Raw genomic sequence first — 14,696 nt, 5'->3', positions numbered from 1 at the left:
CAATTTAGTACAATAGAGACCCCAAGAACTCAGGAGGGAGGGGAGGGGACAGACAGAGGGCACAGGGACCTTACCGATTAGCTTCCCATACCTCTTACAAAACAGACACACCAGGCCTCACAAAGCCAGAATACCGGTCCAAGGTCAAACAAAGTGGCGGCAGAGACCCTGTTCCCAAAGAACACTCCTGCCCTGGCTGTGCTGCGCCACTTGCCATCACTGGCAGCCAGGCTGCCAACCAAGCTCTAGGCCTGGGTCTGCTGCTGCCAGCTCGGTGCCTGGAGGAAAGTCCCTGCTGGCCGCCGCTGACCATCTGCACGCCTGCATCGCCAGGAAAGGGAAAGCCCGGCTCAAGGTCACAGCCCTTCAGTGATCACGCAGGCTCGTCCGGCGTCGGCTCTCCCCGCCCCAGGTGGTAAACAACTCCAAGGCCAAGACCTCACTCTGCAGGGCTCAGGATGGAGAATCCAAGCTGTCCTTCCCCTGGAGACACGGCTTTGCAATCACCTGTTGAATGTCCTGTCCCACCAGACTGAGCCTGGGACCACATATGTGTGTGCCCACTGCCATCTGTCCCTGTCCACACGGGGCCTGGCTAGCTGTGAAATTAATGACCCCGTACGTGGGTGTGAGAAGCACCCCCGTGCCCTCGGGCAGCTATGTGGACAGATCAAAGGAAGGCAGGATCCCAGAACCAGTAACGTCCCAAGGCAGCTGGTGAACAAGAGCCCAGAGAGCAGCAGGGCCGTCCCCTGGTAACCTAGGCTGCACTGTTATCTCTAGCCCCAACAGTCTCATCTGTCAAATGGAAAGGCCGAGACAATGAGCTGGCATCCTGAACCATGTTCGGGTCACACATCCCCTTCAACAATGTGATGAAAATGACTGGTCTCTCCTTAAATTAAAAAGACTGAATTTTGTGAGCTATTACAGGGAGTTAATGCGGACCCTGGAGCCACAGGTCCTTTGGTCCTGACCCTCTGGCTTGAGACGGAGCCAGCTCTAGCACCCCTTCCAGCACAAAAGCCATAGGACAGGGCCTGTGGACACCAGCTGGACGGGGTCGACTCCAGATAGGCAGGGAGGAGGGAGTCACAGAGACGGGGAGAAACCAGGCAAGAGCGACTCTTGAAGGTGGGGGTGGGCTACAGGTAGGAGACAGAACAGGCAGCGCAAGCCTTTTCTTCTGCCTCCTGAAACCCTGGCCCATCTCCCCTGTGAAGCCCTCTTCCTCGCGCCTTCCTTGCTGGGGTTTGTGCACTTCAAGCTCAGCTTTGCTCTGTCTTCAGAGAACTTCATTTGCACCCACGTACGCAGGGACTCAAGCCCCGGCTTGCCACTCCCTAGCGGTGTGACCCTGGGCAGGCTGTATCACCTCTGAGAAGCTGTTTCCTTCTCTGTAAAATGGAGATGTATTATAATACCATCTTCCTCAAAGGAAGATCAGTGGTGGGAATCAAGTGCCTCGTGGAGAGCCGGGCCCAGCCTAGGCAGGCACACAGGCCATGGGCGGTGCGGTTGCTGCTGCTGTTCATTTCTGAATCTCCCACGTGTCACCTTGAGTGTGGGAGGAAAATAACTGGCAAATAATCACAAACGTCTCTATTTTGCGAGTACATTTTCAGCAGTGTTCAATATTGTGAAATTCTGGAGCTAACAAAACCATTTGCTAGTGACCTTGATATTTGTTGTGATGGGATTTGAAACTGGTTCCAAGGCCTGAACATATAGAGACACAATTGCTCTCAGGGATTAAGTAGAAAGAACTGGTCAAGTTGATGTAGCCATGGAAACCCCAGCCAGTCTGGGAAGAGCTACTTTGGGGCACAATCATCTTTTTTCCATAATATCCCTTAACACTACTAACTTTTGCACTGCCTGGTATCTGCGGCTCAGTTGAACCTGGCCCTGCAACATCCACAGCCCAGCTTTTCAGTCAACTGCTATGGCCGGGAGAGGTGCCATGTCAGCAAGATCTTCTCCTCTCCCACCCGCTTCGGTCAGGTTCAAGACAACGGAGCCCCCGCTGAGTACCGTCGGGGACAGGAAACACACAATGGGAAGAGGAAGTGGGAAACCTCCACCCTTTCCCAGGCTGCTGCAGTAGCAGCGGCCAGAAGCCACCTCCTGAGCAGTGGAAGCTGGGTGAGAGCTGCTGTGGGAAGGGTGGCTGATTCCCTATCAATAGCACCTCCCGTTCCTGCCGGCCCCACAACCCTACACAAAAAGGTGCTGTGTCAGCAGTTCCCGCAGAAACAATGGGGTTCTGCCGGGTGGCAGGATTTCACGCACCTCTAGATGGCGCCAAGTCAAGACAAATGCAGACAGGAATTCCCGGCTTCCAGCAAACTGGGTATCAGTCTACGCCTTCCTCTTTTCCTAACTTCCACTGTGAGACAAGCTTCCGTGGAAAGAAAGCTGGCTCCAGAATAGAGATTTCCCATGCGACTTCACATCTGTGCCTGCCTGGAGCCTGCTGGAGAAGTGACTGCTGGGAAAGCCTCTATCTTCAGACAGCAGGATCAGGGGAGAAGCCTGCAACTGTCCCCACCCACTAACTCCCCTGGAGAAACCCTGACTCCCGTCTTCAGAAAGCAGGCTACTCTATGACCCTCCCAGGAGTACCACGCTCTCCTGCCCCATCCCTGTGGGCTTAGATAGGGTCAGGAGCTGTGAACAATTCCAGTCAGCTAAGAGAGTGTGGACAGAATAAGGTGAAGGTGGCATCCAGATTGTGAAAACAGACACCATAGGAAGTGCAGACCCTGGAAGGATGAGCTTGGAGGCCCCGCAGCCCTGTCACTATTGAGGCTCTGACAGTTCAGGGGTGGGCTTCTTGCACACCTGTCTCCTTCAGATGCTACTAAGAGTCAGTGACCCAGGACTCGGGGCCATGCTGATCCATCACCTCCCTCAAATTTCTGCCTACACCATCAGGCTTGTGAATAAATTGTGCTTGTTTAAAGCTCCCTCTTTAGAGGTGGGCAGTGACAAGATGAGACTAATGTCTTGCCCCTGAGGAACACGTCTCCTTTCCTCTTCCCCACCCTCTGGTTGCTGGATCACAGGTGGCTGTGATCTCTGGGCAGCTAGCAGAGACACTCCCTTCTGCAGCTGCACAGCAAGGGCTGCTGCTGGGTCTTGGCCTGCCAGAGGCACAAAGCAGGAAGGCTGCTGATGACTTAAAAGGTAGTGAGGGCCACATGGTGGGACGCTCTGAGAGGTCAGGCATCCTCTGTGGTACTACACAAAGTCCAGGGAAAGGCTGGCCAGTGAGAAGGCTCGCCCATCTGGACAAACACCTCTACAGAGAGGCAGGCTGGGGCAGGAACAACTGATGAGGCAAGGTGGCATGGCACACAGGATACCATTAAAACCAGAGGTGCTAATTTGCTACAGCATCAAATGATTACTTGGCCAGGGCCACTGGAGTCATCTCTTTCCCTCCAGAGGCCGGCTTCCTAAGAGGCTGTAGGACCCTAGACCCATGTTAACTTCATTACATGAGAGGTAGGAGAAGACAGGTAAGAAGAGGGGAAAGAAAAATAAGACCTACTATTAAATAGGCTATTCACAGCCTCACTTCTAGGCCTTTCCGAATAGAATTTCATCCGCAGGAGTAGGGATGGTAACAACGGCAGGACACAAGGGGCAGGGAAGGTTAAGTCGGCCACAAGCGAAGGAGCCAAGTCTGACACCGAAACCATGCTCTTAACTAATGAGAGTTTGGGGGAAACCTGCAACTCTCTTGGTGTAACCCTCAGATAAGCACCTAAGGTCTACAAGGGCAGGAGCCCGATTTGCAAGTCCCATTGCTGTCATCTGGTTAATTCCCTTGCCCTCTGTCCTTCAAACCTCAGCTCTAACAGCCAGCATCCATTCTGAGGGCAGGACCTATTCTTCCAGTGCCAAGCCCTTTCTCCCTCAATCCGCCCAACACTGGGCTGCCGGTACTCACTGTGTGCTTCCACCAAGTCGATCTGCATGTTATACGGGACCAGGGGGTCAGGCAGTTCTGAGAAAAAGCTCTTCATGGCACCAGCCACGGTATTCACCGTAAAGTCTTTCTCTGCCAGGTCCAGGTTGTGGTCTGAAAGGAAGTCAGGAGAGTGAGGCCAAACCATTCTAAGCCAGGCAGAAGCATCAGGACAACTCGGGGCTCAGGAGAGGCTAGAGAAACCTCAAGGAGCCAGAGACGGCCTCAGGACTGGCAAGGATTGGAGGGGTGGGACTTGTGAGCGCTAACGCGAGTTCTGAGGTTCAGGCATGGGCTGGCCCCAGCACCTCTTTCCGAGACTGCTGAACTGCCCCTTCTACCACTCTCGGGGCAGGGGTGCTACCCCCACATGCTGGTTTTTGGTGCCAGGAGCTTGCCTTCATCTGGCTTTGATATGCTGTTGCCTCTTCCTTACTCCCTTCCCATCACAGAAGAAGGAGGCGGCTTTCCTAAAGGGTGGCTCGCTTTCCAGGTAGGTCACAAAGATGTTAGCAACCACTGTGACTGCTGCCTCCATCCTTGTCCCCTATGGTGGGAGGGCAAATAGGCTCATTTTTTCTCTCTCTGGCCCTTCCCAGCCACAGGCACCGCTGACCCATGTCATGCTTTCCTTCTCATTGCATACATACTTCAGTGCGTTCCTGATGACGAAGAAATCTCTACAGATGGACAGTACCAGGTTCCACTATGGGGGAGGTAAGCTGGTACAGGATCTCCCATATATACAAATGCATCCCACACTGGGGGCTCTACCCTCACTTTGGCCTCGTGTCTCCCACAGATTAGCAGGCGTTTCCCTGTCCTGCGGTCCCCTCTGCCTGCTGCCGGCCAGCTGAGCCCGACTGCGGTGCTGCAAGGCGCAAGGGCCGCCCACCTGGGAAGTGGGTGTGGTGTCCACTCTGGGTGGTGCCTCCTGCCCTGGCTGCTGATAGATGGGAATGTGCCCTGCTCTGGTGCTTTTGCTTCTGGCACTGGGGGACGTGGCTTCTCATCCCACAGTGTGGGCAATTCCAAGAGGTAGTTTGGCTGCCTGACTTTAGGCCTCTTGAAGCTGGCTCAGCTTAGGAGAAGGGAGTCCCTGCCAAGAGCTATGTAACTTGGGTCTCTGTCCCAAGGGCTCAGCTCCTCACACGATGGTCCCTCACTTTCTCTGGTGCTGGGACTTTGTGAGGAGGGTAGATCTGAGGCCCTGGCAAAACAGGATCACATCTCAACCCGACTTGTATATCATGTGCCTGCAACTAGCTCTGCATGGGAAAACAGGCAAAGCTCTTCAGTGTGGTGAGGGAGGCATGTGCCCGGGCAACCTGGAAGAGCATCTGTGAGTGGCAGTGTGGGGAGTGGCCTACATGACCCAGCTTGGGCAGGGATGGTGCTTCGGTTCACTGACAGGACCCGGTCCCCTCCTCCCCGCTGCAGCCACACATGGTCTCTTTCTCAGTCTCAGCACCTCGTGGCTTTGGGTCTGTGCTGGCAGGAGTGCTCCGAAGCCCCACAGACAGTTCACCGAGGCAGCTGTGTCTGCCTTGACCAGCTCTGGCCTCGGATGCCTGGCCAGGCTGCACTTTACCTTGATCAAACTGTCTCTGCAGACTCTCCATCTCAGACTTGTTCCCGCTGACCCGGTAGATGCCTTCCGTGCTCAGTCCTGAGGAGAAACAGGCAGGGTCTTAGGAGCAGGAACTGGAGAGCAGAGAATGAGGAGGGCTGGGCTCGAAGACAAGGAGAAAGCCAGGGAAAGTCCATGAGGTGCCCACCACAAGAGAGGAGCAGGCCTCAGCACACTCTCGTTTGATTTTTCTAGATGCTTCAACCCATCTGACCTCCATTTTCTTTTTCACTTAAAAATTTTAAAGTATTTGTTTTTTGGTAAAAATGGAAAGACTATAGAAGCACAGCAGCTAAAGATAACTTCTGTTCATATTTTGATGTATACTCTTGAGTTTTTCATTTTCATTTAAAAAACAGAGGTAGTATATATTTTAACCCAATTACTTTCACTTACAAAGTATGTTGTGAATTTATTTTAATCACTTCAAGTTCTTATTCTTTTACATGATTTTAAAGACACCAAAGTATATGATCACTGTAAGAATAGTCATGCTGTTAATCATACAGGGTTGGCTGGGAGCGGTGGCTCACGCCTGTAATCCCAGCACTTTGGAAGGCTGAGGCAGGAGGATCACTTGAGGTCAGGAGTTCGAGACCAGCCTGGCCAACATAGTGAAACCCCATCTCTACTAAAAATACAAAATCAGCTGGGTGTGGTGGTGCGCGCCTGTAATCTAAGCTACTTGGGAGGCTGAGGCAGGAGAATTGCTTGAACCCAGGAAGCGGAGGTTGCAGTGAGCTGAGATTGCGTCACTGCACTCCAGCCTGGGTGACAGGTGAGACTCTCTCAAAAAAAAAAAAAAAAAAGAAAAAAAAGAAAAAAAAAAGTGATACAGGGTTTTCCAAGTTTTTACTGTTAGAAAATTAACTTGCGCAGGGTGTGGTGGCTCACGCCTGTAATCCCAGCACTTGGCTCATGCTTGTAATCCCAGCACTTTGGGAGGTCGAGGTGGGTGGATAGCCTGAGGTCAGGAGTTCGAGACCAGCCTGACCAACATGGAGAAACCCCATCTCTACTAAAAGTACAAAATTAGGTGGGTGTGGTGGCACATGCCTATAATCCCAGCTACTCGGGAGGCTGAGGCAGAAGAATTGCTTGAACCCAGGAGGTGGAGGTTGTGGTGAGCCAAGATCGTGCCACTGCACTCCAGCCTGGGCAACAAGAGCAAAACTCTGTCTGAAAATAAATAAATAAATAAATAAAATTAACTCACAAGTATGTTTTTTTGACAACTAGTAAAAGCTTAACAGATTACTGGAAATAGGTATTTCTTACTTTGTGAATATCGTATTCATGTTCTTGTTAATTTTCCTAGTGTTCTTATTTTGAACTTGAGAAAGTCTATGAATATTAAGTAATTATATCAACGTTATATATGTTTACATTTTTCCTTTTTGTTATCTGTCTTCTAATTTTGTTTACTGAATTTGTTGAAGTATATAATTCAAAAATTTTAGGCTTTCAAGACCAGCCATTTCCTTTATGATGTCTTCCTTGGTTTTTATGCTTAGAATAGGTTTTTCCTATTCCTGTATCAGCTATTGTTTTTTTTCCTTCTAGTTCTTTTTATCAGTTAAAAAAATCATTTCATTCTGTGATCATTCTGGAACTTATTTGGTGTATAGTGTGATACAAGAAAAAAAGTAGTAAAAGTCAATTAAATACGTAAGTTAGAATAAAATATCAAGGGAAGGATGGGCTCCCACTCCCTCCCCATCCTACCGTGGGCAGAGGAGCACTGTTCAGCTTAGAGTGGATTCCAAGCTGTCTACTGAGTCCACTCACCCTGTCCTGGGAACGAAGTCCACTGTGAGCCATCAAGATCTCAAGGACTTTGTCGAAAGGACAGTGAAGTCACTGTGAAAACTGACATGGGGTCTCATGGCTAAAGCAACCCTGGGTCCCTTCTGAAGACTGGCTTTGAGCGACTCTGTCTTGCTGAAGGTGCACAGAGGAAGCACTGTGGGTGCTGCCCCTGGACAACAGAAACAGTGCCGACAGTAGAGAGCACCGGGCCCTGGAGTCAGTCAGGCTTCCGAGAGCCACGTGTTGGTTGTTATTGTCACTGCTACCTCTGGAGAGACAGCCATCAGGCAAGATAAAAGCAACTGGCCTGCCTGTTTTCTGGGGGTCCCAGACTTCTTGAGGCTTCAAGAACACTGGAGCAAGAGGCATCAATTCTCTGGCTTAAAAGCTGTTAATTGCACCAAGGCCCTTTCCCCGAGAGAAAAGGAGGTTAATGGACCAACCCCAGGGACATCCTACCAAGCAACGCCTAGTTACAAAGGAGCTGCCACTGCTGTACTCGCCTGGGAGAGTGCTGGCACTTTCCATATCAGAGTGGTCACACGCTGTGCACTGAGCTAGGTGCTTTGTCCCCATCCACCATTTGCTTGTTTATTAAATAAACGATGATGCCATTTAATCTCCCACACCTCATGGGAAGAGCTATTGGGTAGGTAGAGAATACACACATGAGGAAACTAAGATTCAGAAAGGTGAAGTCCTTGCCCCAGATCATAGCTGCTAAGAGGCAGAGTGGTCTGAGTCCGGGGACTCTGCCACTGTCCTGCCTCCTTAGTGTTCCAGAAGACACCTGGCTCAAGCTTCTGCTGCTTCCTATTAATCCACCAGGCTGGGGTACAGACCACAGCACCCCCGTTTCTCAGAAGCAGCACCACACTTGGGTGAAGCCCTCTGGCCTAAGCACCAGGGCAGCTTTTGAGATGGCACACCCGTACCCCCTGTGCTGTCGAGACCCTGCTCACCAGCACTAGTTAGTAATTTTTCCACTGACTCTTTTCTCAACTGCTCTCAAGACATATTTAAACTTCTACCTATTTCACATATGAGCAAGCCTTGGGTATGTGTCAGCAGGCTCAAGTCTTCATCTCCTAATTTGAAAAAAACAAATAAAACTAAATCTAAGTTATTTTCCCTTTCCCTGAATATCAGCCCTACATAATACAAAGAAAATGACAGGACAAATAGCACCAGTCTCAAGAGTCCGGAATAATGCAGCAATGTCACCGTTCCTGAGTCTCAGTGTAGAGAGGCAGTCTCCGAGCTGCAGAAGACCTGGCCAGCCGAGGGCCGCACATCACCTTCTGGTGACCCTGACCTTCAGCGGGACTGAGGACTGCTCTGCATTGCCTCATAATGGCCACCGGCCCCGGCATGAGAGGGCAGGAGACGAACTGCAAATTAGCGATCTGGCAATTATCAGTGGTGTGGACCTGCTGAAACTTCACTAGATGGATCGTCACACAAATGGAAGCACTGGAAAGCACGAGGCCGTACCAGAGCATCAATTAATCATCAACTTAGTACTTCCTGTCATCTGGGCACATGTTTATTTTACGCAATCCCATTTTAAAATAGCAACCCTGCTGCTGTCGTACACAATACCACGGCGTAATTTAGGAAAGGTAGCATTTGCTTGGCTAGTGCAATTTATCGTAACTACTAATTAGACATCAATTAAAAAAAGATTAAAAAAACTGAGAGCAGGCTGCAAACACCACCAAGGCTGCAGGGAGCTGGCAACCCAGGTGAGAAACAGGACGCTGGAAAGAGCACGGGCAGCTTGCCAAAGGCCTGAGACCACAGCAGGAAAAGGGCTGGGGTCCTGGAGCAGACCCCCTGGCAAAGATGCTGGATATTAAGGCATTTGTGTCTAGAACACCCCACTGTTCCTACATGGAAACACCCTAGGGGTGACTCTGGCCCACACCCGCCAGTGGCAGAAGGCAGAATTCTTACCAACAGTGACCTCCACCCACCATGTCTACTGCAGGCTCCCAAGTCCATCTGAGAAAGCCTCAACCTTAAACTCACAGGCATCCTTACCTACCAGAAATCTCCAAAGACCCATGTCACCAAAGCATAGCCTTGGCTGCAGGCCTTTTCTGTTTCTCTCCTTCTTTTTTAAAAGCCCTCCCTACTGGCTGCAATTATCTTCTATGTTTAAGTTAATCTTTGGAAATAGAACAAGAAAAAGCTCAGAACAGCCAAGATCACTATGTTCAAATATCTGAACAAGGCCATGTAGAAAAGTCTTGTTCCAATGGTTCTAGGGGACAGAGCTACAATCAAGAATGGGAATTACAAGGCTGGGTGCAGTGGCTCATGTCTGTAATCCCCGCACTTTGGGAGGCCGAGGCGGGCGAATCACGAGGTCAGGAGATCGAGTCCATCCTGGTTAACATTGTGAAACCCCGTCTCTACTAAAAATACAAAAAAAATTAGCCAGGCATGGTGGCGGGTGCCTGTAGTCCCAGCTACTCGGGAGGCTGAGGCAGGAGAATGGCGTGAACCTGGGAGGCGGAGCTTGCGGTGAGCTGAGATCGTGCCACTGCACTCCAGCCTGGGTGACAAAGCGAGACTCTGTCTCAAAAAAAAAAAAAAAAAAAAAAAAAGAATGGACATTACAGAATGGCAAATATTCTCTCAATATATAACTATTAACAGCCATAGCTGTTATTCATTGAAATAGACCAGAATTTTTGAATCTCCTCTCACCAGACAACCATCTGACTGGGGTACTGTTTAAAAAGATGAATACCTGGTCTAGGAAGCTAGCTAATAACAATAATGATAAGCCATTTATCAAATGCTTACTCTGTATGAGGCACACGGTGCTAAGTGCTTTCGTGCCTTTTCATAGCAGTTCTCACAATAACCCCTCCAGACTGGTGATTATTATCCCATTCTACAGACAGGAACGCTGAGACCAGGAGGTAAAGGAACATGTAGAGAATGAGTGAGTCGCACAGATGGGATTTGAATCCTACCTGAGTTCTTCTTCTATGATGCTCAAAATCACTATTTCTCAAGAGTGAGCATGCAGCAGAGTCACCTGGAGGGCCTGTTACGGTGCAGGTGCGGGGGCTCCAGCCACAGAGTTTTGGATTCAGTCAGTTTGGAGGGGAGCCCAAGAATTTTTTTTTTTTTTTTTTTTTTTTTTTTTTGTACACAAGGTCTTGCTTTGTCACTCAGGCTGGAGTGCAGTAGCACCATCTTGGCTCACTGTAGCCTCAACCTCCCAGGCTCAAGCGATCCTCTCACCTCAGCCTCCTGAGTAGCTGCGAGGGACTATAGGTGTGCACCACCACACCTGGCTAATTTTTAAATTTTTTTTTCGTAGAGATGGGGGTCTCACTTTGTTGCCCAGGTTGGTGTCAAACTCCTGGGCTCCAGCGATCCTCTTGCCATTGCCTCCCAAAATGCTGGGATTCTGGGTGTGGGCCATTGCGCCTGGCCTCAAAATCTGCATTTCTAATGCATTCCCAGATGATGCTGCTGCTGCTGGCCAGCGAACCACACTTGGAGAACTGCCATTCTAGAAGATGTGCCAGAGCTCTAAGGCTCCAGAGAAGTCTTAGTCAGAACTCTTGAATTCTATGATTCAATAAAATCAGGGGTAATATACCAGGCAAAATAGATACCACATACTTTAGGAACAAAGCACTTCCAAACAGCATGAAAACTGCTGCTTTTTATACGAAAACAAGCCCTTAGGCATTGCTTAATCTTTTTTTTTTTTTTTGAGACAAAGTCTCACTCTGTTGCCCAGGCTGGAGTGCAGTGGCTCAATCTCGGCTCACTGCAACCTCCGCCTCCTGGGTTCAAGCGATTCTCATGGCTCAGCCTCCCGAGTAGCTGGGATTACAGGCGCCTGCCACTGCACCTGGCCAAGTTTTGTATTTTTAGTAGAGATGGGGTTTTGCCATGTTGGCTAGACTGGTCTCAAACTTTTGAACTCAAGTGATCCGCCCGCCTTGGCCTCCCAAAGTGCTGGGATTACAGGCATGAGCCACCGCACCCGGCTCCTTTACACAGTTTTCAGTCTTGGTCTTCCACAAAAATACTTTGGCAGGGCAGGCGTGATGGTTCCCGCCTATAATCCCAGCACTTTGGGAGGCCAAGGCGGGAGGATTGCTTGAGCCCAGTTCGAGACCAACCTGGGCAAAACAGCAAGACTCCATCTCTACAAGAAATAAAAAATTAGCCAGGCATGGTGTCATGCTTGTAGTCTCAGCTACTTGGGAGGCTGAGGTGGGTGGATCATTTGAGCCTGGGAGGTTGAGGCTGCAGTGAGCCATGTCCATAACACTGCACTTCAGCTTGGGAGACAGAGTGAGACCCTATCTCAAAACAAAACAAAACAAAACAAAACAAAACAAAACAAAACAAAACACCAAAAAATACTTTGGTGACATAGGAAGACTAGACGGCCCTCCGGTGAGAGCTGGTGGGGACTTCCCCATGGACTAGGAACTGGTATTTCAGCCCTTCGACTGCCCTGTCAGAGCTGTGGTGGCTGGCCCTGCTCCTGGGAGGTGTCTGTGGCAGGACGGACACTAAAAAAATGGAGAGATGCCCCTCAGGAGCTTGGAAATCAATGGGGAAAATCACCTCCTTTCCTGGTATCCTGATTTTCTGAAATATCCAAACAGGTTTTGATCCTGGACCCCAGGCAGGCCCTTCTTAGCAGCAGTGCTGTCGGCCAGCGTCAGGCTTCGCCTCTGCTCCTTCACACCAGGACTCAGTTCCTCCAAAGTTTCCTTTCTAGCAACACATCAATACTTCCTCCAAGACGAACTCAGACTTGCTTATTTTTTACTTTCTATATTTAGATATAGAAACTCAGCACTTAGTCCTTTAAAAAAATTTAATTGGCACTGCTAGTACTCTAAAACACCCCATGCCAGGCAGGACTTAACTAACAACTTTTGTCGACTTTTCTGGAGTCTGGAAGCATCTAATAAACCATTCCCTTTTTCTTTTACACATGCAAGACTAAGTCTAAGGCAGGCTAAACTGCAAGGCCGGAGGGGTGCTGAGCACTCAGGGAGAGAAGGAAACTCTTTGAGCATTAAATTCAAATGGTCTTGAAGAGGACCGACCTCTGTGGAAAGGTATGAAGCCCTTCTTTTTCATCCAATGCTAACAGTGTATCTATGGTGTGTCTTCTGAGGACCACACTGCGGCACTCCCCCAATCTCACCTCAATGGAAGATCAAAGGGTGAGGGGGCAGGAGAGCATTTAGGTCAAAATCAAAGCAATCATGTCTCCATTTCCTTCTATGTGTAACAGAGATAACAGTTCTCACCTCATCCCCTGGTGGTATGTATTTAATGAGATCTTAGCACTTAGTGCTGAGAGAGTAGCTATTATCCTAATGATCTAAGTGGAAAGCTGGTTGGCAAGTGGATGAGCACCTGAGTTCTGCTGTCAGGGAGACATGGGTTCGAATCCTGCCCCTGACCTCAGCTAATCTGACCGTACAATGGAATAAATGAGATCGTCTATGCACAGTCCACTGCACAATGCCTGCCAGTATTCTTTTTTCTCTACACTCTTAACAAGCCTCAACAATGGCACCTGCCTGTAGGCATGACCTATTCTGAGAGCGTGGCCAAAACAAGACAGTTTGTAGAAAAACATTTTAAAACATGCATGGCTTTGACACCAAAATGACCTTGGTTCTGATCCTGGTTCTGTCTTATAGCTAGGCTGGGTGTCTGAGAGTAAATCGCCTCTCCTCTCAGGGGCTTGGAATCCTCATCCAAAATGGGGTAATGACATCATTAATGAGTCTGTCAAGATGCTGTAAATATTATTATTATTTTTGAGATGACAAGAGTTTCACTCTTGTTGCCCAGGCCAGAGTGCAATGTGCAATCTCGGCTCACTGCAACCTCCGCTTCCCGGGTTCCAGCGATTCTCCTGCTTCAGCCTCCCGAGTAGCTGGGATTATAGGAACCCACCATCACGCTTGGCTAATTTTTGTGTTTTTAGTAGAGACGAGGTTTCACCATGTTGGCCAGGCTGGTCTTGAACTCCTGACCTCAGGTGGTCCGCCCACCTTTGCCTCCCAAAGTGCTGGGATTACAGGCATGAGACACCGCGCCCGGCCCTCAATTTTCTCTTCTATGAACTGGAGGGCAAGGATGTCTGGCCTGAGAAGAACGACGGCCTCCTCTCCATAGAGAAGGTTTCCTCGCTGTGTCTCTCCGCAGAAGCGCTACTATTGAAATCACACGAGTCCCCGCAGCTCCCCCTGCTGCCTTCCTGCTCGGGAGGTGCCTGGGTGGTTTTCTGGCTGCTCTCCTCCTTGAACACTCGGGTCCTCTGTCCCTCCCCTGCCCCTTCGTTAGCTGTCTTCCCAGGTAATTCCCCTGTCAGTCAAGACCTGCTTCTTCCTGTGCCAGACTTTCCCCCCATGATAGAAGGCCACTAACACTCTATTACGATGACTTGACTGGGTGTGAGTGCCACAAGCAGGCACTGTGGCTTTATACATTCCCGATGCCAGCGATGCGCACACGGCCATGTCATAAATCTCAGGGCTGAGGAGGAGGGAGGAGGTGCAACATCGCACCAGGTCTGGGGGATCAGATGGCTCTAGCATCTGGCTGATCCTTCAGAAGCTGCCTATGCATTTGCTGCCATGAACCGTCAAGTAGGACTTCTGGACCTGCTCTGAGCCCAACAGGGGGCTCCATTCTTTTCCCTGACTTTCAAGAAAATGCATATCCCAACAGCTGGGCTTAAGAAACCACGCTGGCAAAGAACTTGAGGCCAGCCTAGAGCTGACACCCTGCCCATTCTGGAGGAAGAGTGTGGTCCATAATCGAGGTGAGCCGACTGCGCTCTGCAAAACGGGAGTGAACATTCAAAGCCAGGAGCAGCTGGGAGAGCCGTCCTGCCAAGAACGTGAGACGTCTTCATGCTCTGAAGTGTGACTTTGCTGGCATGCCCACGCAGGCCCAGTGGCACTGGAGTGATGGCAGTGTGACTCCGAGGAGAGCTGGTGCCACCACTGTGAGGGATCTTACAGGCTAAAGATCCACCAACAAAGAAACAGACCGCGAGCACAATACAGGTGTACTACATCCACCACATACACACCCCCCTACAAACACACACACATCCCACCACACACACCCCACCACACACACACATCCCACCACACACCACACCCCCCCACACCTGCCCCACCACACACACACACACGTCCCACCACACAAGCCCCACCACACACACACTTTCCACCAAACCCCACCACACACACACAGCCC

At 50.1% G+C, this 14,696-nt stretch overlaps 1 protein-coding gene across 3 annotated transcripts in view; it reads right to left on the bottom strand.

Annotated features, from left to right (window-relative positions):
* ARHGAP35 (Rho GTPase activating protein 35) overlaps positions 1–14,696 on the bottom strand; it is a 144,081-nt gene that overhangs the window by 11,444 nt on the left and 117,941 nt on the right. For all 3 annotated transcript variants that reach the window (XR_002958305.2, NM_004491.5, XM_024451473.2), the window contains exons 4-5: positions 5,568–5,645; positions 3,959–4,090 (exon numbers count right to left, since the gene is read on the bottom strand). Coding sequence is in view for 2 of the 3 variants with exons in the window: in NM_004491.5 (NP_004482.4) it covers positions 3,959–4,090; positions 5,568–5,645 (210 nt within the window). In the remaining variant the exon portion in view is untranslated. The remainder of the gene's footprint in view (positions 1–3,958; positions 4,091–5,567; positions 5,646–14,696) is intronic.

Source organism: Homo sapiens, chromosome 19 (assembly GCF_000001405.40).
Source record: "Homo sapiens chromosome 19, GRCh38.p14 Primary Assembly".
NCBI lineage: Eukaryota > Metazoa > Chordata > Mammalia > Primates > Hominidae > Homo > Homo sapiens.
This window is presented reverse-complemented; position numbering and strand designations above follow the sequence as displayed.